Source organism: Homo sapiens, chromosome 16, assembly GCF_000001405.40.
Source record: "Homo sapiens chromosome 16, GRCh38.p14 Primary Assembly".
NCBI classification, from domain to species: domain Eukaryota; kingdom Metazoa; phylum Chordata; class Mammalia; order Primates; family Hominidae; genus Homo; species Homo sapiens.
In genome coordinates this window covers 12,541,097-12,568,496 of record NC_000016.10, presented here as the reverse complement: position 1 = coordinate 12,568,496, position 27,400 = coordinate 12,541,097, and the positions used below count along the sequence as shown (strand labels likewise).

The 27,400-nt window shown below is 49.6% G+C and overlaps 1 protein-coding gene and 1 long non-coding RNA gene across 15 annotated transcripts in view, besides 6 other annotated features; one reads left to right on the top strand and one right to left on the bottom strand.

Moving 5' to 3' along the window:
• Positions 1–27,400, bottom strand: part of SNX29 (sorting nexin 29) — a 597,554-nt gene that overhangs the window by 5,791 nt on the left and 564,363 nt on the right. For 3 of the 9 annotated variants that reach the window (XM_017023874.2, XM_011522738.4, XM_017023873.3), the window contains one exon: positions 194–7,576. The exons of 5 other annotated variants lie outside the window; for them this stretch is intronic. In XM_017023874.2, the coding sequence (XP_016879363.1) occupies positions 7,396–7,576 (181 nt within the window). In that variant the 3' untranslated portion in view covers positions 194–7,395. Of the gene's footprint in view, positions 1–193; positions 7,577–27,400 lie in introns of those variants that run through there. One more of the 9 variants, XR_001752024.3, reaches the window with a different exon arrangement.
• SNX29-AS3 (SNX29 antisense RNA 3) overlaps positions 1–27,400 on the top strand; it is an 80,226-nt gene that overhangs the window by 42,646 nt on the left and 10,180 nt on the right. The window contains exons 1-4 of one of the 6 annotated variants that reach the window (XR_933080.4): positions 7,351–7,573; positions 11,958–12,144; positions 15,230–15,420; positions 15,890–22,184. This is a non-coding gene — a long non-coding RNA (SNX29 antisense RNA 3). The other 5 variants (XR_007064991.1, XR_007064988.1, XR_007064989.1 and 2 more) reach the window with 5 other exon arrangements.
• Positions 19,422–19,561: an enhancer, noted in NCBI's record as "active region_10476". NCBI's record gives its function as "activates an Ori minimal core promoter by ATAC-STARR-seq in GM12878 lymphoblastoid cells {active_cell/tissue: GM12878}" and the evidence as "EXISTENCE:reporter gene assay evidence [ECO:0000049][PMID:35858748]".
• Positions 19,672–20,141: an enhancer, noted in NCBI's record as "active region_10475". NCBI's record gives its function as "activates an Ori minimal core promoter by ATAC-STARR-seq in GM12878 lymphoblastoid cells {active_cell/tissue: GM12878}" and the evidence as "EXISTENCE:reporter gene assay evidence [ECO:0000049][PMID:35858748]".
• Positions 20,798–20,867: an enhancer, noted in NCBI's record as "active region_10474". NCBI's record gives its function as "activates an Ori minimal core promoter by ATAC-STARR-seq in GM12878 lymphoblastoid cells {active_cell/tissue: GM12878}" and the evidence as "EXISTENCE:reporter gene assay evidence [ECO:0000049][PMID:35858748]".
• Positions 21,148–21,197: an enhancer, noted in NCBI's record as "active region_10473". NCBI's record gives its function as "activates an Ori minimal core promoter by ATAC-STARR-seq in GM12878 lymphoblastoid cells {active_cell/tissue: GM12878}" and the evidence as "EXISTENCE:reporter gene assay evidence [ECO:0000049][PMID:35858748]".
• Positions 21,288–21,407: an enhancer, noted in NCBI's record as "active region_10472". NCBI's record gives its function as "activates an Ori minimal core promoter by ATAC-STARR-seq in GM12878 lymphoblastoid cells {active_cell/tissue: GM12878}" and the evidence as "EXISTENCE:reporter gene assay evidence [ECO:0000049][PMID:35858748]".
• Positions 22,362–22,421: a silencer, noted in NCBI's record as "silent region_7219". NCBI's record gives its function as "represses an Ori minimal core promoter by ATAC-STARR-seq in GM12878 lymphoblastoid cells {active_cell/tissue: GM12878}" and the evidence as "EXISTENCE:reporter gene assay evidence [ECO:0000049][PMID:35858748]".

The following is a 27,400-nucleotide window of genomic DNA, read 5'->3' as shown; positions in this document are numbered from 1 at the left end:
CAGGGAGAGAATCGGGTTAAGTCTGGGGATGAAAAGCAAATGACCACAGGCCAGGAAGGGGAGCCAGGTGTGAGGGCAGGAGGGATCTGATTGGCAACTGTGACTGGCTCATTGGATCTGCCTCTAACTGGTGCCACCTGAAGAAATGAGAAACCCCTATTGTCACGTAAACCTTTCCATTTTTTTTTTTTTAACAGCACTCCGAGGCTCCAACCAAGCTTGGCTGTGAGTCTGAGCTAGCTCATGGTACCACCGTTCCGGTCTACATTTTAAGGCTATGAAAGAATGTTCTAGGCACAGCTTTCTTCCCCACATTTTCCTTGATTTTCCAGCAAAGGTACGCTTCTAAGTCCAAGGCAACTTTGGAGAACACTACATAAAGCCACACAAGATGCGTAGCAAAACACAGGAGACGGACTTCCTGTGGAATTAATCCTAAGAAAATAATCAGGCCCTAGGCTAGGGGCTAGTTAAAAGGTTGTTTGGCATGGTATTGTGTTTAAGAGCCAGGAACAGTGGAAGATAACACCAAGAGGGGGACACTGATCCTGGTTCTGAAGCAACGCGAACACACAGCGTGTGTGGGTCCCAGGGCATGGGTCTGGGTTGTGTGGGAGGCCCTCGGCACATTTTTTAGGGGATAGGGTAGAGGCTGGGAGGCTTCACCGTGAGAGCAGAGGGTGCTCAGCAGGAAGTCCTGTGATGTGGTTGCATTTTTTCAAAATTGTATTTTCTGGAGACAGTCTCGACTCTTGCCCAGGTTTTACAGTGCAATCGTGTAATGATAACTTGCTGCAGCCTCGATCTCCTGGGCTCAAGTGATCCTCTCACCTCAGCCTCCTGAGCAGCTGGGACTATAGGTACTAGCCACCATACCTGAGTGTAATTTTTTGTAGAGATGGGGTCTTGCTCTTGTCCAGGCTGGTCTCAAGTGATCCTCTTGCTCAGCCTCCTAAAGTGCTGGGATTACAGGTGTGAGCCACTGTGCCTGGCCAATCCTTAATCACATCTGTAAAGTCCCTTTTGCTAGATAAGGGGACACATAAATTCTGGGGCTAGGAATGTTCTTACTCTGCCTACTATACGCTATTTGAATAGGAAGTAAATACCTCACTGGGATAAAATGTTTTAAAACAAGGCAAAAACCTAACAGGATCCATGTCCACTCCTGCGTCCGCAGCACCTCTGTGCTGCTGTGGCTTGCTGGATGTAAGTCCTGGATCCACTGGACCCTACAAGGGAAGACAGGACTGTGTCCACAGCTAGCTCTGCCTTATCTGTGGTTTAGAAAGGACCAAAGATGCCAAGTGAGAATGTCAGATCAGGAACATCCACCCCCAGCTGTATCCAAGCCCAGTTTCACAAATCATGTGAGTTAAGAGACTTGCATTCATAAAGAAATCATTCCCCTCGAGGATCCCTGCAGGGTTCCCTGAAACAGCCTAGCATCTTCATGTATCTCAGGAGTGAATCTCTTCACAATGATCTACTTTGCGTTGCACCTTTCCAGGGACATGGCCACTGTGCGAGTGAGATCCCTCGTTTCAAGTTTGACACCCTGATAAGCTAACAAAATGAAGACCCCTTTTAATGATTGTCTTTTCCTGTAAGTCAAGTTGTTGCTTTGCCTTCTGTGCATGGATGAAAAAGAAACATTTGACCTTGAACAAAGCCGGAGCTGCTCTGAATCATCTCTGAGCCCAACCAGCCTGGCGTGTGCTGTGCTTTCCTCCTTTAGGTGGGTGTCTGGCTGCAGGCCCAAAGCAAACATGATCCTCTCTTCAAAGGATGGGGGACCCCACTTACGAAGAGCCTCTTTATCCCTGAATGCTCCTTAGAGGATGGTTCAAAGATGCTGGAAGGAGGTCTTTGCTTGCAGTGTAGGGGAACTGATTCTTAGATACAGGAAGGCTTGGATGTAAAAGTCAGTTTAAAGCCATGCCCTCACAACCCCCTCCTGTCATGCTCTTCAGATGCGGGGTCTGAGCAGCCACTTAGCCTGCAACCACCATCATCATTCAGCACAGCCAGGATGAGCCCTGCCCTGCAATGACCAGAGCTTGGGGGGAGAGGCCCTGGAGGTAACAGGCTCTGAGAGTGCCTGGGAGAGGCCAGTGCCTTGTTGGTTGGGAGAGGAGAGGTAGCAGTCGGTGGGGTGACTGTTATGAAGGGGTAGGGAGAGGACATAGCTTGGAGGCACGTGTCTCTGTCCAGTCCTGCTGTGGGCAGTGCTGTCTGACCCTTGGTTTCCTTGTCTGTCATTTGGGGATGACAACCATAAGCATATCCTAGTACTGTGGTGGTAAGGATTCAAGGGCTACCTAAAGCCACCAACTAGCTGTGTTTCTGTAGGCAAATGCCTGCCCTCTGAGCCTTGGACAGAATAAAGGTGGGGTGGTTTTAAGCATCATGGGGATCAAGTGCCTAGAGAGACAATGGGCAACAGTGAACATTCAAACACATGACCTGTGTCACCACCATGCTGGGCTGGGCATGAAGGGGTGCAGAAGTGGTCTCAGGTTTGGAAAGCCACAGTGTCATTGAGGATGGGGAGGGCAGACACTGGACAGATGGCTGTGGTGGATCACGGTGGATGCCCCAATGAGAGGGAACTCAGGTTGTTCTGAGCAGGGCACAGAGGGCTTCCCGGAGGAGGCAGAGGTGTGGAGGGTGACCAGAAGTGAGCTGAGGGTTGCTGTGTAAAGGGCCCTCTAGATGTGAAAATGAAAAAAGGTGAAGGTGGCAGGCCCATGGGGAGGGGGTGGACTTGTAGCCGGGCAGACCCGGCCCAGCTGCTTCCCCTTCCTGGAAGGCAGGGTTAGCTCGGGACGTGCACTGAGCTGTCACGAGGCTATATGTGTCACATGTCTGTGCCTGGCACCTGGGAAGTCCCAGTGAGTGTAGGCTGCTGTGGTTGAGGGTGTGACAGTAGGCTTCTGTGACACAGGGATGGTTCAATCCTCGAGGCCATGTGGAGCAGAGCCATGTCTCGGGACACAGGCTTGGAGGCAGGGGTGCTGTGATGGTTTGAGAGAACCCAGGATGAGGAGGGGGCAGGTGAGGCCACGGGAGGATGGGCTTCATTTGGGACAAGTTGAGTGGATGACACCTGCGGAAATCTGGCTAGACCAGGGGCTTCAGTGAGTGCGTGACAGATGGAAAACCCAGACTGCTGAGCACAGTGGACTTGAATGGAGAGTGCTGGTGGCTGCTGGCGTATGTGAGGCTGAACCTCTTGCAACTGCCATCTTTATAGATTGAGAACAGCCTAATACTGGTAATGCTGTCTGGCTGAATAGCAGAATCTGAAGGTGGGGGGTTGGGTAGGACTGGGAGTATGTAAACTGGCAAAGGAAGTGGGGGCTAATGTGGATAAGAGACTAGGGCCAGTACTCAGAAGAGAAGACGACCCCATGTGTCCCCACTGGGCCCCTTTGCTACAGGGGAATGAAGCCAGTGCCAGGCTCATCCCAGGACTGGCGTCCAACAGTAGAGACATGGGCTGTAGTCGGAAGCTGAAACGCCTCACATTTACAATGACAGCCTTTTTTTTTTTTTTTTTAACACCAAGGTTCCCTCCAGTCCCTGCTGCAGATGCCTCCTCCCCACAGGATCCTCAGAGTGAAATTCTCATCTCTCATAGCCCTTGTTAGCTGCCGACTTCAGCGTTGTGTACCACCGAGACTTCTGGAATGACAACACCATTTCTTAGCTGGCTGCAATCATAAAGCCAATCACCAAGAAGCAGACAGTTGTTAGGCACAACTGCATTTTTATAACAAAGTGGGCTTGCAGCTCTGGGGCCTAAGCAACAGAGGAATGTGTGGACAAGATATGTTCCATTCCTGCTCCCCAGCAGGGACTCTGTTAATGCTGGGACTAGGTCTGTTACAGTTTCACAAACAAGAAAAAGGGGCGTCTGGATGGCAATCCATAAGAATGGGTTGCCAAAGGCCTTAACTCCATATTCAGAGTCAGAAAACTTGAGTTCCTTCTGTTAAGACACTCTAGACCTTGGAGAAAGATCCATAACCTCCCCAAAACACAGCTTTCTGATCTGTGAAATGAGGATAATAGTGCCAATCATACATCATTGATGCATATTTATGCAGTTGGTGGTGATTAGAAATAGATTTGGCTCCTTTGACATCCTGAAATGACTGAAATAAGGTAAGAGACACTAGTGAAGTCTAGCCAGCAACTTCATAGGAACTTTTACTGGTAGAGGCATCTAATATACCAAAGGAACTGAGTAGAGATTTTTTTCTCTTAGAGATGTGGGGGTCTCCCTATGGTGCCCAGGACGGTCTCAAACTCCTGAACTCAAGCAATCCTCTACCTCAGGCCTCCCAAGTGCTGGGATTATAGGCACGATCCACCACACCCAATCAAGGAGGATTTTACAAAGATATTACAAACTCCCAAAATACAGCATCGTTGCCAAACCACAACCTTTTACCGGTGCAACTCCTCAACTCCCTACCCTGGGGGAAGAGGGTGCTGCAGGGGCAGAGGGAACCTTATCTGAAAAGCCCTTCCTCGTCTTTCTTGAACAAGATCAGCGTCTAGGTATTGTAGGTCTTCGGCTGCCTGCTCCAGAGACGGCAGAGGCCCAAGGGGCTAGAGATGGGGAGAGATGGCTATTCAGCAGGGATATTTACAGGCAGCCTGAATAAATAAAAAGCAGCAAATGGGTGGGTGTTGCAGTCTTCAGACAGGTCGGCAGACAAGGGTGGAGAAGTTGTGGCTGTTGGGTAAAGAATGACAGTGCCATCTCTGGCTTTCCTCATGTTCCTCTTACATGAGGCCAGACCCCATCATGGGCTCTCGGGGAATTGAAAAGACTCAGTTCCTACCTTCTGGGGCCAGGACAGTCTCGTCTGTGAGATGTGGTGATACAGACATGGAGGCCTAAGCCACCACCCAAAGGGGTGGGGTAGACCCCTCAGGTAGTGGTGGGAGACAACTCAATTTTTCACATGCGGGGAGGAGTCTCCCCGTTTTAATAGCCCTATTCCTTGAGCCTTTTACCCTATTAGGTTTCCTAAATTTACCTGCAAAGGACATACCGCAAGGAACAAAATCCAGTCGCCATCTATTTTCATGGTTACGGGTAAAATATCAACGTGGCGATAAAAGACAGGCTCAGGATAATGGCCACTCCTCGACGGTGACTCTCTCCAGTCACAAAGCAGACTTTCCGAGCTGTGGATCCAGAACCCGACGTTCCTCTGCTACCTGGGCGGGGTCAGTGATGATGGGGAGGCCACTTTCAGGGTATGAGCCTCAATCCCAGCATGTTGACTGTGGGAAGTGACATCCCTGAGCCCAGAGTTGCCCCCCCTGGAGCTGGGATGAGGACGTGTGGCGACCTTTCCTAGGCTCTGTTGTTAGCGTGCGTCTTCTATGTAACATTCTGGATTTCTCTTCCAGTACCTACATTTCGAGGTGACCTTGGCCCTTGCAATGATGTAAACACGGTTTGAAAGGCGCATTGAAGCAGTTTTTCTTACGCATCAGCCCTCACCCCTTGTGTTGGGTGAATGTTTGCTTCTTACTATGCAGGTTTTTGGCAACATGGACGAATCTCAAGCACATCGTCAAATTCCCAAAACTAGAAATGACAAAGCACAGACCGGGAGCTGTCGGGTTGCCTATAGGGGAATGCTAGGAAATTTGGGGGGAAAGGAGTTGTTCCACATCTTGATGGTGATGGCTAAAGGACTCCAAGCCTTTGTGAAAACTCAAGGAACTATGCCATAAAAGCGAGAAACAGTACCACGGTAGGCTTCAATCTCGACTCCAAAGAAGGCAGTGCCTGTAAATCTAGACTTTCCCGACATAAAACAGCCCCTCAGGGAAGACCCTGATAGCCTGTAGCTCTCAAGAGCCAGCGACCTTTGTCCCCGTCTCTGGGTAAAAACTAGGGACCACGGGGACAGTGTCTTAGATGACTCCTGGCTGTGTCATTCACCAGCAGGTGTACTTGGGCTGCTCACGATGCTCCTTTCTAGGACTCGAGTTCCTAGCCTATGAAGGGGGATCAAAGTCAAACTAGCAAGCTGTGTGCACTTTAAGTGGGTAAATTGTATGGTATGTGATCTGTCTCTTGAGCTGTTTTAAAAAATGGTGCAAGCAAAAATAAAGGGGGAAATCACAGAATCTGCCCTGCAGGTTCTTGGGACAAAGCCAACGATAACGTTTGATGCTGGGATAGAGCGTGGCCCATGGGGATGCTGCTTAGTGAATGCCCTCGCCCTTCACTTCTGAACTTGGCCACCTCCAGCAGGGTTCACTCCTCTGTGAACCCTATGCTCAGGTCAGACCTCAATCTTACTCCACAGACCTGGTATTGCCAGAGCCATTTTGGGGTCACACAGGAGAGTGAACGGCCTTAGAAATGCGGTTCAAACTACTGGGCAGAAAACACGGGAAGGAAAACGGCACAGATGATTCCATCCCTAAATCCATGAGGGGCCAGGCCTCCTGGGTTGCAGGGTCCATTGTCACCAAGCTGGTAGACACTCTGGGGACATCATGCCCCCAGGGATGCACCTGGCTCTAAGCTCACCTGGAAGGCAACTGGAGAAGGAACTCCTGGGATGCCACGGTCACCTAGGAGACAGCCCATAAGTCCCCAGGGCACTGCCTCCCCTCCCCTGCAGGGAGAAGGATGTAAGCTGCGGTAATGAGCCCCCTGCCAGGCCACGCGTGGTCCTGACATGTGCTTTGGTGTTCATTTCAGAAACTCCATCTCCATCCTCCCTGCTGCTAGCAACTTAACACAGCACTGGGGAGTTGGGGAAAAGGGGGTCTGTGTGTGAGGGCACCCTCAGAGGGCCCCAGGAGTGGCTGTTCTTTTTAATAAGCCTCTTGGGGTACACTGCGTTGTGTCCTGTCACCAGCATGCGGCTGACATTAATCGGACAGCCTCAACTGCTCATCAGTGAAAATGGCTGCGAGGAGAGACTAACTTTTCACTTTGTTTCACCTGTGATCTGGGTCTGGCGAGCCGGTCAATACTCCACTTACTAGGAGCTGCCTTTGAAGCTTAGAGGGCTGGATCCCTGCAACCCAGCTAGGACTGATCTGTGTGTGTGGCGGGGATGTGGCCAGCATCTTCCACGACCTAGCTCCCTCATAAGTCTGTGAGTCTCACCACTTTGAAAACCCAGTTCTGCCTCCAGGATGTGAAGATCATGGAGAATGTTCTCCCTGTGTCTTAGCCCCTTGGATCTGTGGAGTGGGAGGGAGTGGCCTTGCTCTGCCTTCTGTACTGCATGGCTGCGGGGGTCCTGATGGGCAGTATCAGAGCATGCCAGGCTGAATAGCCTTTGAATTCATTCCTAGGCAACACCTGGGCCTCAGGACTGCGTGATGGGTGCCCCGTGAAATCTAATTCCACTGTGAACTATGCTGACATCCATCAAGGCCTTTACCTCCTACCTCTTGGTTTGAAATGGGTCTCCAAGACTTCCACCATCCACAACTGATCCAGAAATGGCTCTGGCAGTACCCAAGGGTTCCTTGAAGGCAGGTCTGGGTCTGGTTCTCCGGATCCCAACACCACGAGGTACTTTATTTTAAAAGGATTAAAAAAGCCACTGCTTGTCAAATCTTGAACTAAAGGACTAACACCAATTCTCATAACATCCTTAAGCCGGCCATGTGAAATGGGTGCTGTAATTACCATCCTAATCTTAAGGGCATGGAAAATAAAGCACAGAGGGTAAATCCTATGGCTAATCAGGAGCAGAGGTTGGTTTTGATGTTGAATGTGTGCACTCTGAGCCCAGAGTCGATGACTAGATATAAATGCATCCAAGCCCAGCCCCCAAGATGCTAGTTAGGTGGTGGCACAAGGTGGGGATGTGACAAGGCAGCTGTTGCTTGCTGCTTTATGAGAGGTACAGATGGACAGACCCCAAGGAATCACACTGAGCAACGTTTCAACCAGAAATAGAAATGGTCTTGGAAGGTGGAGGGCAGGACAGGCGTGCCCAGAAAAGCAGGAGGTAAGTGTGACTCCCAGGCAAGAACCCAAAAGACTCGGGGCTGGGGACATGGATGCCTACAGGACAGACACTGTGGCTTTTGGGGATTAAAGAACTCAAAATACTGAGCGCACAACCTGTCACCAGATGAATGTAAATCCCCCTTCGGTAAACCCAGCATTATTTTTTCATGACATTTTGAGTGTGCTTTCAATAACACTGTGACATTGCTGCTGTGTTCCTGATATTTTTAAGCTTCAGGCTTTTCTTCTGCAAGCTCTGGCTGTGTAGTTGCTCTTCTACAAGCACAAGTTAAATGGTGAATTAAAAAAAAGTGAGAAAGGCTTTACTGTTTGTTGGGGGGGGGAGGGGAACACAGAACTAGAATAGCTTGTCAACTCATCCTTTGTGGATAACCACTGTTAGGACAGTAGTTACATAGTTTTCTAGTCATTTTTCTTTGTGTATTTGTCATACTAAGTCTTCCAAAATGTAAGTGAAGTTGCTTGCAAAATCTTTTTTTCGTGGTGGAGTCTTGCTCTGTTGCCCAGGCTGGAGTGCAGTGATGTAATCTCGACTCACTGCAAGCTCCACCTCCTGCATTCATGCCATTCTCCTGCCTCAGCCTCTGAAATCTGGTATTTTAAATCAAAGCAGTCTGGCATTAGAATGCCAGAGATGATGATGGAAATGGCCTGGAAGATAGTAAGGACGAAGGTGCTGTGTAATGCTTTCAGAGTGACTGCTGTCAGGCTGGGCATCACTATTTCATCTATTTCTTGGTGTTCTCACCATGGGAGATGGGAAGCTCGAGAAGTTACTGCCCCAGGCCCATGGTAGAGAAGCAGAATGTGGCTTACATTTGGATACAGGGCCATGTGCAAGGTCACGTGGCAGCAGTCCCCAACCTTTTTGGCACCAGGGATGAGTTATGTATAAGAAAAATTTTCCACAGATGTAGGGGGTGGGGATGCTTTTGAGATACAAAGTGTGTTACATTTGTACATTCTATTATTACTACATGGAAAAAATTACACAACTCACCATAATGTAGAATCATTGGGAGCCCTGAGCTTGTTTTCCTGCAACTAGATGGTCCCTTCAGGGGGCGATGGGAGAGGGTGAGAGATCATCAGGCATGAGATTCTCGTAAGTAGCATGCAGCCTAGATCCCTCACATGGGCAGTTCACAATAGGGTTTGCATGCCTTTCAGAATGCAGTGCTGCTGCTGATCTGACAGGCAGAGCTCAGGCGGTGATGCGAGTGATGGGGAGTGGCTGTAAATACAGACGAAGCGCTGCTCACCCACTGTGTAGCCCAGTACCTAACAGGCTATGGACTGGTACTGGGCCAGGGGTTGGGGACCAGAAGAGGGATCCAAGCCTGATTTGACTACTACTCATCCTAGACTAAGGAGCACGGGGACACAGCGGTAGACCTCTACATTGCAGTTACGATGTGTGAATTTACTTAAAAGGAGTCTTTTGTCTCTCTCCCCCATAACTGTGTAAATTTCTTTAAAGTCTCTGAATCCCTCTGTTACCTGAAACATGGGGCCGATATCAACCCACCTATGAGATTAAACAAGACAATGCTTTCAGGCCCTGAAGCAAACTCAGGCACATTTTCTGCAAATGGGCTGCCTGTGGCCCTCTTGTGGCTCTTGGTGACTGTGGCCCTGCCCCTAGGGAGCCCTTATCAGGCAGATAAACTGCTTCAGGTTGTACAATGCGGGATGATCACCCAATGGGCCTGGGACAGCCTAGTGGTGAGGCTTGTGCAGCCCCCCGTAGAAACGGGATGGGGGTGGATTCAAATCCCAGCCACAAGGACCAGCAGGATTGGGTGGGATGGAGAATAGGTTTCTTTTAAGCTCGGGGCCTGCACTGTGTGAGCAGCTGTGGCAGAGAGTGACAGGTGTATGGATCCACCATGGACGGGGTACTGAGAGGCATGGCACTGTGGGGTGTGTGCATCCCTGGGGTAAACAGTGCTCATTAAAAACTAAAGATGCACTGTGCTTAACTTTAAAGGATGGCATTAAGTTCATACAGAAGTCTACCAATGCTTTCTAGATGTCAGCTTTCACCACTTCAAGGCTAACATATCACTCTATGTAAAATTCCGATGGTTACCAATGGCTGTGATGCTGAGGGGGCCTCTTTGTCTCTTTGTTGATAGCCACTTGAGGTGACCAGGGGCCATCTCGCGTTTCAGAGCTGGCTCAGCCTGACATTTCAGAAGACCTCAGATACCATCTACTGGGGGGGCTGAAGAGAGGCTCTGTGATGGTTCTGCTGGAGTAAACCGTAATTATTAAAAACTGAGATGCATTACGCCTAACTTGCTAAGGATGGAAAGGATTATCCCTGAATGCTGCTGGTCTTCTAATTCTCAGTTGCCCCGTCCCCACTTTGCATGGGATGTTCAGAGCACAATCATGTCTCTGTTGTAATCCCGGCCAATTACCTCACAGTGCTCTCCCCACTGCAGCACCCAGCCCAACCAACCGTGGCTAAAATCTTAAGCAGAAGACCCACAGGAAGACAGGGCAAGCGGTGAATGAAAATAGCAGCCTGCCTGCCCTGACGACTTGAGAATCCTCCAGTTGCCTGCAGAGGCCCTCCTCCACTCGCTGGAATGGCTATGGTCATGTCACATTGATGATGTTTTGGTGAACAACAGACTGCAGATATGATAGTGATCCTGTAAGATCGTGATGGAGCTGAAAAATATCTGTTGCTTAGTGACATCACAATGCAGTGCACTACTCCTGCATCTGAGGTGATGCTGGTATCAAACGAGCCTACTGCACTGCCACTCATCAAAAAGATTTTTTGGGCTGGGTGTAGTGGCTCACACCTGCAATCCCAGCATTCTGGGATGCCAAGGAGAATGGGTCATTTGAGGTCAGGAGTTCAAGATCAGCCTAGCCAACATAGTGAAATGCTGTCTCTACTGAAAATGCAAAAATTAGTTGGGAGAGGTGGTGTGTTCCTGTAATCCCAGCTACTTAAGAGGCTGAAGCAGGAGAATTGCTTGAACCCAGGAGGAGGAGGTTGCAGTGAGCCAACATCATGCCAAACTCAGTCTCAAAAGCCAAAGGTGGCTTGTTTCTATTCGCAAGCCCTCAACCATTCAGCATCTCCACCCTCTTCTGAGGTTCTTCCCATCTCTCTGAAGGTGACTTTGCCACTAAATTGTACAGGGTCCCAGGTCTCTTCTGCCTGCACTCCCCACTTATCTTTCCATAGATCCAAATGGTAAAGCTTCCCAAATTCGTATGTCAGCCTTTCCCTCTGGAGCCCTGGAGTCAGTATATCTACCTTGAACATAGCCAAAATGGAAATTGTGACCAGGGGCAGTGACTCCTGTGTCTAATCTCAGCACTTTCGGAGGTTGAGGCAGCTAGATGGCTTGAGCCTGGCAGACTCTGAGGCCAGCCTGGGCCACATAGCAAGACCTCATCTTGGGGCGGGGGGGGGGTAAATTAGCCAGATGTGGTGTGTACCTGTTGTCCAGCTACTCATGAGGCAGAAGTGGGAAGACTGAGCCTGAGCGGCAGAGGCTGTAGTGAGCCGAGATCATGCCACTACACTCAAGGTGAGGAGACAGACGGAGACCCTATCTCAAAAAAAAAAAATTCAATTTTTTCCACCATCAAACTTCTGTTCCTCCTCTGGGCTTCTGTACTTTAGTAAAGGGGGCAACTGTTGACTCCAATGCTCAAACCAGAACTCTGGGGGTGCCTTAATTTTTCTTTATTCACATTCCAAACAAAATCCAAGACCCACTGGCCTTTGGCTTCTGCCTCCAGACACATGACTACTGCTTCCACTTCTGTCTCTGCTGTGTCTCCTAAACCCAGACACCGTCCCTTCTTGCCTTGACCCTTCCTCAGACCCCAAACCCTTCCATAGCTTCCCACTGTGTTCAGAATCAAATGCAAATGTTTCCCACAGCTGTAATCCCATCGTCACTTCCTCTGGCAACACGGGGACTGCCTGCCATGCCCTAACTCCTCCTTGTGCTTTTGGCCTTCGCCTAAGAGTTCCTTGGAGTTTCTTCACAGCATCTGTAGCCATCTGAAGTGTCATCTTCTGTACTATATTGCCAGTGCCTACAATTACGACTGGTATACTCAACCAGGTGAGTGAAGTCCAAGTGGTCTGTCCTGGTCTAGCTCGTCTATAGCAGACCAATGCCCGCTGGCCCCACAGGACCTCGGATTTCTTGCCAGCTTTAGTGAGGTGGGGTGTGACGCCATGAAACCAACCTCACAATTGGAAGACCCTAGGTTGCATTTCAGACTCAGCAACATCTGGGATGTGTCATGGCGACAAAGCGATTTAACCACTCCAACCATCACTTTGAGAACATAAGAGTAATAACCCATACTTCTCAATGAAAGCAGAAATTAATTCTATAAGATTAATAAGAAAAGCACCCTTTAAGCGTCACTCAGCACTACGGTGGCATGGCATGAGTCCACAGGACAAGTGAACAAAAAAAACACTTGAAAATTGAAAGCCACGCAGATGGTGTTACAAGTTGGTGTGATGTAAACAGACCTGACACCATACGCAAAAATAAGGTTTGAGACCAAGAACAGGAGGGCAGAAAGCACGGCCTCTGGAGAAAATGATGGAGGTGGTGAGGGGGGTTGGTCAGTCAGCTGGAGCACCTTTCTTGCAGAGGCAGGCAGGAGTGTGCCTGCCTGGTGCCACTGAGCAGCCTGAAGGCTAGTTGGAGTTGTGGGGAGGTGGAAGGAAAAGTGAAAGGGCCAATCAGGGAGAATCTCGTAGAGTATCGGAAGGCTTATTCTCAGACTTCGTGCAGGAGTGACAGGGTCTGGCATCAGTGGGGTTACTCAGGTGTGGCATGCACACTGGACTAAGGGCAGCTGCTGGGTACAGGGAGAAATGGAGGTGAGAGATGAGGGTGCTCAAACCCACGGTATGACCTCCCAGAGAGCAGGGGCGCTGTCCAGTCAATCCCTGCGTGACTCCCCACAACGAAAGACGTCCTCAGACATGTCAACTAGGGAAACACCCTGCGTACATGAGTGTCTCCTACAAAGCAACCTGAGGGGCCAGCAGCCCAGCAGACACGCAGGGAAAGACAGGGAGCGCCTCATGGGAGAAAAGTTAACCAACATGTTTCTCAGGTGCCAAGAAACACTGGGGCTATGAGAGGGATTGACTGGACAGCACCCCTGCTCTCTGGGAGGTCATACCCTGGGTTTGAGCACCCTCATCTCTCACCTCCATTTCTCCCTGTACCCAGCAGCTGCCCATAGTCCAGTCTGCATGCCACACCTGAGTAACCCCACTGATGCCAGACCCTGTCACTCCTGGACCAAGTCTGAGAATAAGCCTTTTGATACTCTGAGATTGTCCCTGATTGGCCCTTTCACTTTTCCTCCACCTCCCCACAACTCCAACCAGCCTCTTGAGGCTGCTCGGTGGCACCAGGCAGGCACACTCCTGCCTGCCTCTGCAAGAAAGAAAGGTGCTCCGGCTGACTGACCCCCCTCACCACCTCCATTGTTTTCTCCAGAGGCCGTGCTTGCTGCCCTCCTCAGCCCCTCTCCCCTGCACTGCCTGTCCTGTATGGCATGCTGACATATCTTTGTCCTCTTTCCTGAGCACCCTGGCACCTACGGAAAGAATGGCACAGAGCAGGTGCTCAATACAAATTTCTAGAATAAACAATTGCATTCTATGGCGGGGGAGAGAGCACGTTCTAATACACTTAAGGAAAATGCAAACTGAAAGACTGAAAGACAGCTGTCACCAGGCATGGGCAGGGATGCTGAGAATTGGCATCCCTGTGGTTAGCAAATGCACAAACTGGTGAAACCTGGGGAAACTGAGGCAGGTATGTGTGAGTGAGCTCCTCTGGCTTGGGAGCTCCAAGTCTTGGTGTCAGCTTTAAGAAATTGTTGAACAAGTTCACAAAAACGTGGGCGAGAATGTTCAATGCAGCATCCTGCTGCGGAGGAAGCTTGGAAACCACTCCATGCCTATGTGCAGGACCCATGGACCTGGCATGGCAGGTGTGCGGAAACAGCAGGACACGCTGACATTACAGAAGACGATGCACACCCATGCACGGGGCACAGAAACACCTTCAAGACACAGGTAAGGGAAAAGCTACAGAACAAAAGACATCTGGTCCCATTTTAGTTAAAACTGAAACCTCATATGAAGCAAGCACCCATGTATACACAGATGCACCAAAAGGCAGAGACGATGCAGCCGAGGGAGATGTTCACGTTTTGCTCTATATATGCTCATCGTTCAAATGGTTTAAGCCAGAACTTATTCACACATTGCTCATTTACTTAAACACAGTAAAGAGCAAAGCATCCAGGCTGGGCATGGTGGCTTAGACCTGTAATCCCAAGTGCTTTTGGGAGGCCAAGGTGAGAGGATCATTTGAGGTCAGGATTTACAGACCAGCCTGGGCAACATGGTTAAAACGCTGTCTCTACTAAAAATACAAAAATTAGCCAAATGTGGTGGATGCCTGTAGTCCCAGCTACTTGGGTGGCTGAGGCAGGAGAATTGCTTGAACCCAGGAGGCGGAGATCATGCCACTGCACTCCAGCCTAGGCAAAAGAGTGAGACTCCATCTGAAATCCCAGCACTTTCGGTAGACCTAGGTGGGTGGATCACAAGGTCAGGAGTTCGAGACTAGCCTGACCAACATGGTGAAACCCTGTCTGTACTTAAGGAAAAAAACTAGGCTGGGGGTGGTGGCATGTGCATATAATCCCAGCTGCGTGGTAGGCTGAGGCAGAATTGTTTGAACCCAGGAGGCGGAGGTTGCAGTGAGCCAAGATCACGTCATTGCACTCCAGCCTGGGCAACAAGCACAAAATTCCATCTTGCAGGGGTGGGGGGTGGGGAACAAAGCATCCTCAGAGCCCACAGCTCCTGCTTAGCTCCCTGCAGTGCTCTGTGGGGTCCCTCCTCCAGCACTGTGATGGCAAGTGTGCACCTGCCCTGCCTGGTCTAAGCAGCTGGGGCTGGTCTGAGCTGGTCTACACCATGCTCAGCAGGTTGGAGTGTGTCAGACCTGGTTTTCAACCACCAGAACTACTTATATGTTCAACTTGAGAGCATGTCTGGCAAGCTCTGAGAAGACGAGCTGGTTTCTCTGCCTGCCTTGTTAGGGCGTTTCCCAGGGCCAGGTGCCCACTCATTTTCCTCTTACTCTGTGCCCCTAGGCGGCAGTGGTCTTGTACAATCTCTCTCTGTATTCTCAAGTCCCCATCTGCGAGCATGGCTACTGGAAATAACTGCAGCTGTATACTGACTTAAAGATCCAAAAATCCCAGGAAGGACCCCAGAGCTGTGAGCCAGAAGCCCAAGGCCCTCCCAGCCTGAAAGCCCCAGGCCAAGCCTGAACTATATGCAGGTGAGTGTTGCTTTGCAGTTACCATCTCCAATTAGTGTCCCCAGCCTCTTAAAGCTGATCTAATCCCACTCTCCTGATTTCAGCCCCTCAGACAGTGCCTGCTGCACTCAATACAATCCATGTTCCTGATGACGTGGCATATAAGGCCAGGAGCAATCAGCTCTGCTGCCCTTGCCTATCTCCTGCCTCCATGTCCATGTCTCCCCAGGCCCTGCCATCTGCCACACCCTCTCCTCTCTGGCAGGTCAGGTGTCACACTGTTGGCTGTTCTCTCCTCCAGGATGACTGAAAGCCCAGAGCTGAGATGAATTCATACCTTAAATCAGAAGTGATTTCACTGGAGATACCATGTCTCTTCTATCAGTCCCCCAATCTAAATCTTCCCCCGACCCTTGTAAACGCCCTGCATGGCCTGGGTCTCCCATTGCAATCCTTCCATTTGTTTGGTGTTTGGTTTTTGCTTTTTTAGTCATCCCCATGAGAATATAAACTCCATGAGGGCAGCAACTTGGCTGGCCTGTGTGCCAGTGCTGGGGACATCACTGAGAAATGAAGGCCCATTTGGCAGGCTATTTTTGAGCAAGATTCCTGAGGCCCAATCGTTGGGTGATGAGATGGACCCGAGGTATTTCACTCCAGCTCTCGAGCCAAAAGAACTGACCACGTCCTCACCACTGCTCTGCGCCAGGTACCATGCTTGCTGTCTTACACGTGTATTGGCTTATTAAACCCTCACAGAAGCCAGGAGAGGAGTTCCATTATCACCTCTTCTAGAAGAGGAAACTGAGGCACAGAAGTTAACTGGCCAGGGCTTACGAGCCCCTAGGAGGCAAAGCTGGGGCATGGTGCTGGATGTCTGACTCCACGGCCCTCCCCTGCCTTATCTGCCGTTGTTTCCCTTTCTGCAGGATTAGTAGATTAAGCTGTACTGGAATGTGGCCTCTCAGGCATTTCCGTATCAGCCATGGTTACACTCACTGAGGATAGCACAGTTGAGTGATTGAGACAGAGATTCAGTGCCCCAAAAATCCTTCCCATCTGAGCCTGGACTTGCCACGTTTTTTAGAGACAGGGACCAGCAGGAGCTACTTTGACATGGCACTGTGTTGGGCACAGCCTGGCTGGGGAATCTCACTGGATCCTCACAGTGGCTCTGTGTGGTAGGGTATAGAGATCCCTACCTTACAGATGAGCAGACAGGCTAGAAATATCACCTGCCTGCTCCTGTGTCCCCAGCAGCAGCTAAGTGACAAAACTGAGGCGGGGATACAGAAGTTTGATGCCCATGTGCTTCTGAAGCGGGCCCCTGGTATGTGTACAAGGCAGCCAGGAAGTATTTCTTGTCAGCTGTCCCCATTCACAAGTTGGCTCACCACCTGAAAGGAGGGTGGTACTTTTATCCTACTGCACAGGAACGGAAACCAAAGCTCAGAAAATACTTGCTGGGTTGATGCCTCAGACTCAGATCTAATTGTAACACCAGAATTTGTTCCAGCCTTTTGAAAGCAGGGCTTCTCAACTTTGCATGCACCTTAGAATTACCTGGGGAACTTTAAAAAGATCCTGATGCTGAGGCCCAAAGATTAATGTTGCATTAACCAGGCAGGGCCTGGCCTCTGTATTTTTAAAAGCATGCTGGGTGATCGAATGTGCAAGCTGTGGCTGAGACCCCAACTTGAAAGCAATCCTACTGTTGGGGAAGTTCTGCAAATGGAAAGACTAGCCCCCAAAAGAATGATTCCACATATCTCTGAGGTTACAAGTGGCTTTTTGGTGGGCTGACAAACTGGTTAAACATTTGACGGTGTCTGAACCTCCGGAGCAGTGATTTTTAGACTGTCCTCAGAAGATGGCAAATCTGAGTGCAGTGTGTTCCTAAAGGCTCTCTGTGGGGAAGTCTGCACGATGGTACTGAGGGTTTTCTGAGATTCTCCTGGCAGCTGTGGACCACTGTTCCATTATTTCACACCAGATTTCATCCAAGCAAAGAGAGGATCACATGGAGATGAAAACACCCCACTTCCTTCATCTGGATGACACCTTGTTTAGAAGCCCATCACTCGGCCAGAGAAGAAATATTTAGATTGAGAAACAGCTTTTTGTTGTGCCCTAAGCCCATTCTACCTTTATGATTCAACTAAAAATTTATTTCCACTTAAATAAAACCAGCAATTCTGAGCTTCCCCTCCCGTCACAGGTTTCCTCCCAGAAAGTCTATCATGAAAATACTGCTCAAAAATCATCTGTAAAAAGGTAAATTAACACATATTCTTGGCTCCCTCTTCCTTATCTCAGCTATTCAGCCTCTACACTTTTTCAACTATTTTATCACCTTTTTTAAATAGGCAACACAGGAGTGTAGAATAAGAGCATGAGGGGGGTGAATACATGAAAAAGTGAGTCTTCCCACCTTGGTCCTCCACTAAGTGACGGTTACTTTTTAATGTGTCTTTCTACAGGTATACATTACACATAGAAGCACGTATGTATGCACCGGTGGAAGTATATATCCTCATATTTGGTGTTTGGTTTTTTTTTTTTTTTTGTAGATTGAGACTGTGTCTCCCAGACTGGAATGTAATGACACAATGTCAGCTCACTCCAACCTCCACCTCCCGGGTTTAAGTGATTCTCCTGCCTCAGCCTCCCAAGTAGGTGGGAGTACAGGCGTGCACCACCATGCCTGGCTAATTTTTGGATTTTTAGTAGAGATGGGTTTTCCTCTTGTTGGCTAGGCTGGTCTCACACTCGACCTCAGGTGACCCAACCACCTTGGCCTCCCACAGTACTGGGATTACAGGTATAAGCCTCTGTGTCTGGCCCATATTTGCTATTTCTAAAATTAGAAAGGTATTGTGTGGTACTCTTCCATGCTTTATCCTCTTAGTAATAATGTCATGGAGATTTTTTCCATATCACTACATGCGGTATGGAAGGTATTCCCTTTACATGTGAGTGTACATCAGCCTCAGTATTCTAGCCCATAGGTTGGCAAACTTCCTATAAAGGGTGAGACTAAACATACTAGGCTCCAGGGAGGCATTCCATCTCAGTTACAACTCAACTTTGCCCTTATAATAAGAAGCTATACATGAAGTGTGAATGACTGGGCATGTTCCAATAAAACTTTACTTATAAAAAACAGGTGGAGGGTAAGATTTGGCCTGTGGGCCATCATTTTCTGATCTCTGTTCTAGTCTGAACCATCTTTGGCTGTTTCACCACAGTCATGCGGCCAAGGAGGCAAGGCCTGGCCACACAGGGCACAGAAGCCATGATGGGCCTTGTCTGCAAGTAGAAATCACCTGCTAATCACCAACAGGTCTCAAAGTAAATGCTGGAACACACTTTGTAGGGTGACTCTCCTGGCCCCAAGCAGCATCTGCGACATCAAGATGCCGGGCCTTGGGACTGCCTCAAGCTGGTTTCGGCAGCTATGCTCTTTACAGAGCGTGTGGAGGGCAAGGACTCTGGAGTAGAAAAAGGTGCAGGTCTTAGGGCTGGGGTCCCAGGGTGGAAGCCCACTCCATGCCTTACTGGCTATTTGAGATAGAGGATGAAAAATGGCATGAACATCTTTGTATGTGTGAGGATCTTCCTGTTGCCCACGCTGGAGTTCAATGGTGCAATCTTAGGTCACTGCAACCTCCACCTCCCAGGTTCAAGAGATTCTCCTGCCTCAGCCTTCTGAGTAGCTGGGACTACAGGTGCACACCACCACCCATGGCTAATTTTTGTATTTTTGGTAGACATGGGGTTTTGTCATATTGACCAGGCTGGTTTCCAACTTCTGACCCTGAGTGATCTACCACCTCAGCCTCCCAAAGTGCTGGGATTACAGGGATGAGCCACCATGGCTGGCAGACACAAGCATCGTGAGGGGTGCCTAGCCCCTGCAGACACTCCATGAACAGCAAATGTGATAACTGCTAAATCAAAACTACCCCAGAATTTTCCATCTGCTATGTCCCCAAGAAATGACACTGTAACAGGGAGCCGAACACTATGATGCCTGCCCAGCTGCAAGAGTGGACTCACCTAAGATACTCCACAAGCTTTTTATGCTGTTACAACGGACCCAAAGCACGGGAGAGCAGGGGCCTCACTTGTGCTGTTGCTTGAGAGTTCCCTAAATGCCAGGCCATAGCAGGTACTGAAGAATACCTACAGCCCGAGTGAGTGCTGCTATGTGTAGGGTTCAGGCCAAGGGCCCTGGCTGCAGAGCAGAGGAACTGAGAGCTAGACAGGGCTGGGCCTGCCATAGGAAAACAACAGCCCAGCTATGACCCAGCACTGTGGTGGCTGGGGGATGAGAGATGAGCTCAGCACAGAAAACACCTTGGAGCCCTGGATGTACCCCTCCTACACCAGTACAATGCCCTGCAGTGCTCTGGGCTTTAAACTTCACTTCTTGCTGAGTTGACACCAAATGAGGCCCCTGAAGAGCCTCTTCTGCTGTGGGGCTTGGACAGAGTACCCGGGCCTGGAGTGGGACTTACAGGGAAGCCAGCATCATAGAAAATCCCTAGAGGGAATTCCCAGAAGGCTGCACCCTCAAAGCATCTGGTCCAGACAAGACAACCCTGACTAGTCATCCTGAAAGCCCGGTGCTGTCCAAAAGACACAGATGCCATGGTACAGGGATGTGGCACAGTGGGGAGCCAGAGGTAGGTTACAAAGGAGACCTTAGAAGGTGTGGGACTCCCTTCCATGTGGGTGCAGAGTGCCCACTGTCATTCCCCATGGAGGCACCAAGCCAGGAGAGTAGGGCTCCAGGGACAGTAGCTTCCAGCCTTCCCAGTCAGGTCCACATCTGGTGAGCCAGAAGGAAGGAAATGTAACCTAACACTGTGGCAGGATCCAGCGTGGCCTTGTGGGAGGCGCTGTGGGATGAGCAAGAGAGCAAATGTGTGTGGCCAAGATGAAGAATGAACAGGGATAGAAAATTCCTACTTGTCCCAAGAAATAGACCTCAATGTCCCTTAGCAACATCTTTTTATGTCATGCCTGACCGTGTGTGTGCCAGGGGTGGTGCTTGCCTTACCAATATGAGCAGTGCAAAAGTCCAGGATGCCACGTTCACTCGAGACCCCTGTGCCATGCTGTCTCCCAAAAGACTGAGCACCTTGAGGGCAGACTGGGAATTGAGGTATCCCTGAACCCCTAAGAGCAGCTCCTATACAGCCCTAGAACTGCTGCTGAAGGAAGTGGCTCATTTTGCTAAACTCCAGTTTGGAATCTGGGGCTCAGTAAGGCTGTCCCTGCAGAGCATTCTTGAGCCCATTCTGTTCGGTAGCCAGGCAAGTGTGAGCAGCTGCAGCTTCACAGGAGGAGGCTTAGAGGGGCAGTGATGGGTGCCATGCTATGCAGATCCCAGACAGGAACGCGGGGGCCAGGTTTTATTACAGGAGATGGTGCTTGGGGTGGGAATCATATCTCCATCCCATGGGACAGCTTAGTGGTGCTGAGGCTGACTTCGTGGGGGTGTATTTAATCCTCGTGAGGGAGGGGGATGTTAACCACAGCTCAGGACTCTGTTCTTCCAGTTCCTCTTTCTCTCACACCCACATTGAAACCAGCAAGTTCTGGTAGTTCTACTTTGAGAATACCCCTTCCCAGGCTGCCTGAGGCACCATCCCCTCTCCCCGGGGTGCCCACATGGTCCCCTAACTACCTGTTCTATCACCCATAACAAAGCTCTACCCTTTGCTGACTCCACATGGCAGCTAGAGTTCCCTTGGCTGCAAGGCCTCTCTGTTCCTGGGCTACCCTGGCTTCCTTGCTGTTTCTCCCAGGGGCCAACTCTTCAAGGCTGCAGGACCTTTGCACCTGCTGTGTCCACTGCCTGGCTCCCTGCCTCAGGTCTCCACTTCGGGTCAAACTATCCCTGTCATCTTCCTAGACCATAAACAGCACATCCCCAGCAGGCTTCTTTCCCTCTGTGATGACTGTGATGTCATTTCCTGTCTTTTCACTGGAAATCGCCACCTCACATAGGCATGTCTGCCTCACTATTCAATGTCTGTGTCCCCCATGAAAACAGATGCTTTATCTGCTGTTGAACTATCAGGATCTGAAATGGTGCACTGTAAGTACTAATTGGAGGAATGGGTGGATGGAGGGGTGGGGAATTTATTTTCTCTTCATCCCTGCTCTCATCCTCCTAGGGCTTCCAGCTGCACTCCTAGCCCTGGAAAAACCAAACCAGCCTGATCTTACTGGTGACTGTATAATCTTAATCCCTTTATTTTCATATATTTTGAAAGCAATCCTAATTGTCTGTATTTAAAATTTCCTTTGTTGCATGGAAGGTAGCTGTTTAAATGTCTAATTTTCTCCTATCTTCTTAGTTTTCTAGTCAAAATAATAGCTTTAATCACAGTGGGTCTAGATGGATTCAAAAAGGAAGATTTATCCACTCTTCTTGGTAATTGTTTATAATTATCAATAGATCAATCTGGCATTTATGTTCCACCTGTATTATCCTTGGGTGGGGACACAGCCAAACCATGTGTCATCTTGAATTCCCATGTATCATGGGAGGGACCCATTGGGAGATAATTGAATCACAGGGGCGAGTCTTTCCTGTGCTGTTCTTCTGACAGTGAATGTGATGGTTTCATAAGGAAGAGTTTCCTAGCTCACATCGATGGTGCCATGCAAAGAGCTTAAGAAGTGACTTGCTCCTTGCCTTCCACGGTGATTGTGAGGCCTCCCCAGCCACATGGAACTGTGAGTCCATTAAACCTTCTTTCTGTAAATTGCACAGTCTCAGGTATGTCTTTATCAGCACTGTGAAAACGGACTAATACAGTTGTACGAAGGGTCGAAAAGAGGTCAAGTTTACCTCTACAGCAATGAGTACCTCCTACGTCCCTCGTTACTTTACATTCCCTGCACCAGTGCCCATCCCTATGTTACCAGGTGGAGGTTATTAGCTCTGTTTTGTGGATGGGGAGAATACATTGTCCAAAGTCACACAGTGAAGTGAGAGACTGGGGACTCAAACCCAGGACTGCTTCACTCCCATCATGTGTACTCAAGGGTGTGGGTTTTTTTGTTTTCTGTTTTTGGCATCCAGGTGTTCAAACTACAGTGCCCACTGAAGCACACATCCTGCCCTTAGTTGTCAGGATAATACATAAATATTAATAGCCCCGAACACCTAGAATGCTCCAGGTACCCCACCCCAATGCCCACGGCTTAGGCTCACCCTCTCAAGGAGAGGTGATCTGCTCCCCTCCCCCACAGGTCTGGAGAGTCAGTAGGGAGGCCCCTGTATGCCTAGTGGTGAAAGGTACTGTTTAAAAGCTGCCTCTCCATCTCAGGTTAAAATCTGAAGGCTTCATGGTGACCTCGTCTCTGGCCACCCACCTTGCACCAGCCACTCCCCTTAACCTGGAGCCTAGAAGCTGGGAAGGGCCATAGTGTAGACTCAGAACAGAAGAAAAGAGCCAGACCCTTGCTTTCTGTACCTCTGGATTCCAGAGGAAATGGGTTCCTCCATCTACTCAAACGTTTCTCCATAAGTCGTCTGCTGGCAAAGGCCCTGGTCACCCACTCTGACAGGACACACGGTCTTGCCACAGTTGCAGGAGGAGAGTCACTGGCATCCTATCCGTCCACAAGCCCTGGAAGGAACAATCCTAGGGGTGGGGCCAGGCAGGACCCGGTTAGGAAGCGGACAATACACCTATTGTGTGACAATGGGTTGTCACTCTGTATGTACTTGGAACTATGTGACACCCTTTCTCTGGTGGATGCGAGTCTTCCAGATGTAAAGAGGGCGAAGTGGCAAACCAATTTCTCAACAGTACTCTTTGGAGCCACTTGAGAACAGAGGCCCTTTCCCTGTCATTGCCTGCCCCACCCCTTCCTTTTTTGTATTGACCATATTTGTTTCTCTGACGGCTGGCAGAGTGTCTGTACTTCATAGCTGTGCTAGGTAAGTGGGGCCTCACAGAGCTGGCTACTGCAGCCTGGGTCTGATGGCTGGCACAGTGCATTTCGTGGCTATGCTACAGGAGCAGGGCATCACAGACCTGGCTACTGAAGCCGACATCTGCTGCTTCCTAGCTGTGCCACCTAGGACAAGTTACTCAATCTCTCTGAGCCTGTTTCCTCATCTGGAAATACAGTGAACAAGGGATGATGATAACATCTAATGACTATTGATTACTGGCCCACTGACCACAGGCCAGGGGCTGTGTTGACACTGGCTGCATGTGGGCATTTCCCCAAGGAGTTCTTGCTGAAGCAGTGGTCAAGAGTTTGGTCTCTAGAATCCTGGCTCTGCAGTTTACCAGCTGTGCGACCCAGAGCACGTCCCTTCACCTCTCTGGGCCGAGGTTTCCCCTCCTATTAAAGGGATGGTGGAGGAAGAGAATTCGAGTGACAGCGCTCTCAAAGGCTTCATGAGAAGTAAACAGTCTGACATGAACCTGCCGATCCCAAGGCATGACGCAGAGTCAGGAGTGACAACTCATTAAGAAATGCCTGCAGAACAATGAATCCATCACTGTAACATTCCAGAGAATGTTCCTAGGCCACACAATTCCCCACAGAAAAATGCCATCTAGACCCCAGCCGACCCCAATCATAAAATCGGCCTCTTCAGAATGAGATAGGGTAGAGAAAGAGAAACGTCCAAATCCCACCAGCTGACATAATGTTTTAGCAGAACCACCTCACAACGCCTTCCACTCCCCAGCATCACTTCTCCTTTCCAACAGTACTGACTTTTCCTGCCTCATGACTTTGGGGTCCACCTTCCCCTGTGGCCTGGATGCCGTACTGAGAGTGTAAAGTCCTGAGTTGCAATCTGGGTAAGTTAGTTTCAATCTTGGTGTGGTGAGGAACCGGCTGTCACGGTTCTGAAGCCTTGGCTGATGTGCACACCACCGATTCCCATCCCGTGTTCTTAGGAATGATGCCGGTGAATATAGGGTTATGGACTTGTTTTCCTTAACAGCCTTCCACAACCAAGTCTGCAGAAAGACCTCTACCCCTACCAATGTGATTCCTGTGGCTTTGCAATGTGATGAGTCAACGGGGTCTAGAGTCCAGGGCTTTTGCATTTAACCCATGGTGTGACCTTGGCTGAGACCATTTCTCCCAGCAGATAGGCTCCTCGCTTAGAACGAGAGGGTGCCGGATTCCACCTTCGGCAATCCAGGATGAAGGAATACGCAAGCTCTTGTAGTGTGGTAAGAGGATGTTCCACCACTGGCTTCTCTCTTCCAAATACGAAGGTGTCCCTGTCTCATGGGCTGGGAGAAATCTCTAGAGCACCAGATACATCTTGGAAAATAAACTTGGAAAATCTCCCCCAGTCAACTCCACTGCAATGCCAAAATTCATTAATTCCCGTGGTTAATATTTTCTGATACGACTGGCTTGTTGAATGCAGGCTGGAAGAGCGTCTGGAGACAGACGGCACCAGCTGCGGAGCACTGGGGCACTGCCCACTCCATCGGGGAGGATGAACTGGGACGCACCACGGAAGCGTGATCTCGTGGCTCAGTGGGCGTGGAAGTCTGGGCCAAAGGTGTCACAAGCTTCTTACACAATGACTCGCCAGCACAGGTGGCTGTGGCTTTACTGACAGCTGTTCACCAGACCCCGCAGCATGAACATATGTTTGCCCACCCACTTTCTCTCCTTTCAGTGAATCGGGCCCCCTCCTTCTGGATAATCATGTTCAGTCCATGAGCTTAGGTGGGCTGAACACCCTGCTCCTCTGCCCCAGATTTGGCTAATCAAGGTGCTCCATTCCCCGGGCCACAGGCACGGACCCAGATGCATGCGCTGATGACCCAGAGCTGCATCATTCAGAATCTCTAGAATTTCCGCTACAGCTATCAGGAGCAACGTGATGAATATGATTTTTCCTAGGACTTCTACAGGAGCTGATGAGAACACTTATGCTTCAGGGCCTGGATCTAAACCATCTATAAGATACGCAGCTGCCAGGATCCATCTTTCCACCAGACAGAACATGCTTGAGGGTGAAACCAACAGGGTCCTGGTGACACTTTTTGAGCCTCTGGATCCAGCCATTCCTGAAGCTAGCCAAGTCCCTGGACTTCATAGTTACAGGAGTAGTAAGTACTTCTTTTCTGCTTCAAGCTAATTTGAAGTAGGGCTCTATAGTTTTGCTAAGCAAAGATTCCCTACTCAAATCATGTTTCTGGGACCTCTAGAGACTCAGACATTTAGCATTTCTGAGTACTGCTCATGGGTCCACACACCTTACAGGATGCTTTAACTTCACTTACTTGCTGATTTAACTAATACTTTGTTTAAAAAAAAAAAAAAGGCAGTGATAGTCTAGTGCTTATATGCACAAGATTTAAGAGTAAAAGACTGGGACCAACACCAGCCTGGCCCCAAAGTCCATGTTCCCAACACGCTGCCTTCAAACACAAGTTTAAGTGTTAGACCCACACTGGGTGCCGTGGCTCACGCCTGTAATCCCAGCACTTTGGGAGGCTGAGGCGGGTGGATCACTTGAGGTCAGGAGTTCAAGATCAGCCTGGCCAACGTGGTGAAACCCTGCCTCTCCTAAAAATACAAAAATGAGCCAGGTGTGGTAGTGGGTCCCTGTAATCCCAGCTACTTGGGAAGCTGAGGAAACAAAATTGAACTTGGGAGGCGAAGGCTGTAGTGAGGGGAGACTGTGCCACTGTACTCCACCCTGGGTGATAGAACTTGGGTCTAACTTTTTCTTTTGAGACAATCTCTTGCTCTAACAGCAGCTCTAAAACTTACTAGCTGTGATCTTGGGCAAGTTCCTCCATTTCTCCATGCCTCAATTTCCTCATCTATAAAGGGAATAACACTAGGTCCTATCCCTCTGAGTTGCAGATTCCTTGACACCCTGTGTGGAAAAGGCTTAGCACAGGGCCTGACACCCAGCAGGAGCCCAGGTAGCGTGGGCTGAATTGGAAATGCTGGCTCAATTTAGGGATCCGTTGGGAAGAGACAATATTGCAGGATTTGGACTAACTGGTGACTAGGAATATCTTTGCCAAACTAATTAAAAAAAGAAAAAACAGAGCGGTGCTGCAAACGTGAGCCCTTCTGGACTCATAAGACAAGCCAAGTCTCTGAAGTGGATCCAGCGTCCTCTTGTGTGGGCCCAGGATGTACCGTGGGCAATCAGTGGAAAACATCTGTTGCATCATCATAAACATTCATCAAGCATTGACTGGTTTCCAGGCATGTGCTACAAAGCTGGGAGAAGAGGGGAAGAGGCGAGCTTGGTTCCTGCCCTCTGAACCTTTCCATTCCAGGGGGTTGGAAACGCAGGTCAGTATCAGGCACTGGCTGGCACAGTACGGAAAAGACAGGAGGTGACAGGAATCAGGAACCCACTCCCGCCCCAGGGTAGTGGTAAACGGGTGTCAGCACGGCTGCATTAGGAGCTGGCTGAACGAAGATGCGATGGACCCCGACAGAGATGTGGCCCAGAGTGTGACCTCAGGGTTGAGGTCTGGCATGGAGAGCAATTTGGCAGCTTGAAAAGGGAGGCTGATGAACAACTACATGCTGAAATGGTTATGACTTGGGACTCAGATCACAGAGGTCTGGGTCTGAGATCCTGGCTCCATCAAGCACTAAGCGTGGGTCCTTTGAGACATTGATGACCTTCCATGAGCCTCAGTTTCTTTATCTGTACAATGAGCCTGCACATGGTAACTGCCCTCATAGGGAATTCTGTGAAGAATGAAGAAGGTAATTCTGGCACTCAGAAGTCCTCCATCAGGGCTGACCATCCCCACTGTTAGTGGTATTCCCCTGCTCCTGTCATTCTCTCCCTGATAAGATATGATACATGGTTCCATAGTCCTTCTCTCCATGCACCAATATTCCATAATACTTCAGGATAGACAATACTGAGGAAGAGGTTCCAGGTCTGGGTATGATGTAGTAAGGTCACCTCCCCCTGTGTCTCCCCTCCAAGTCAGCTTTCAAACCT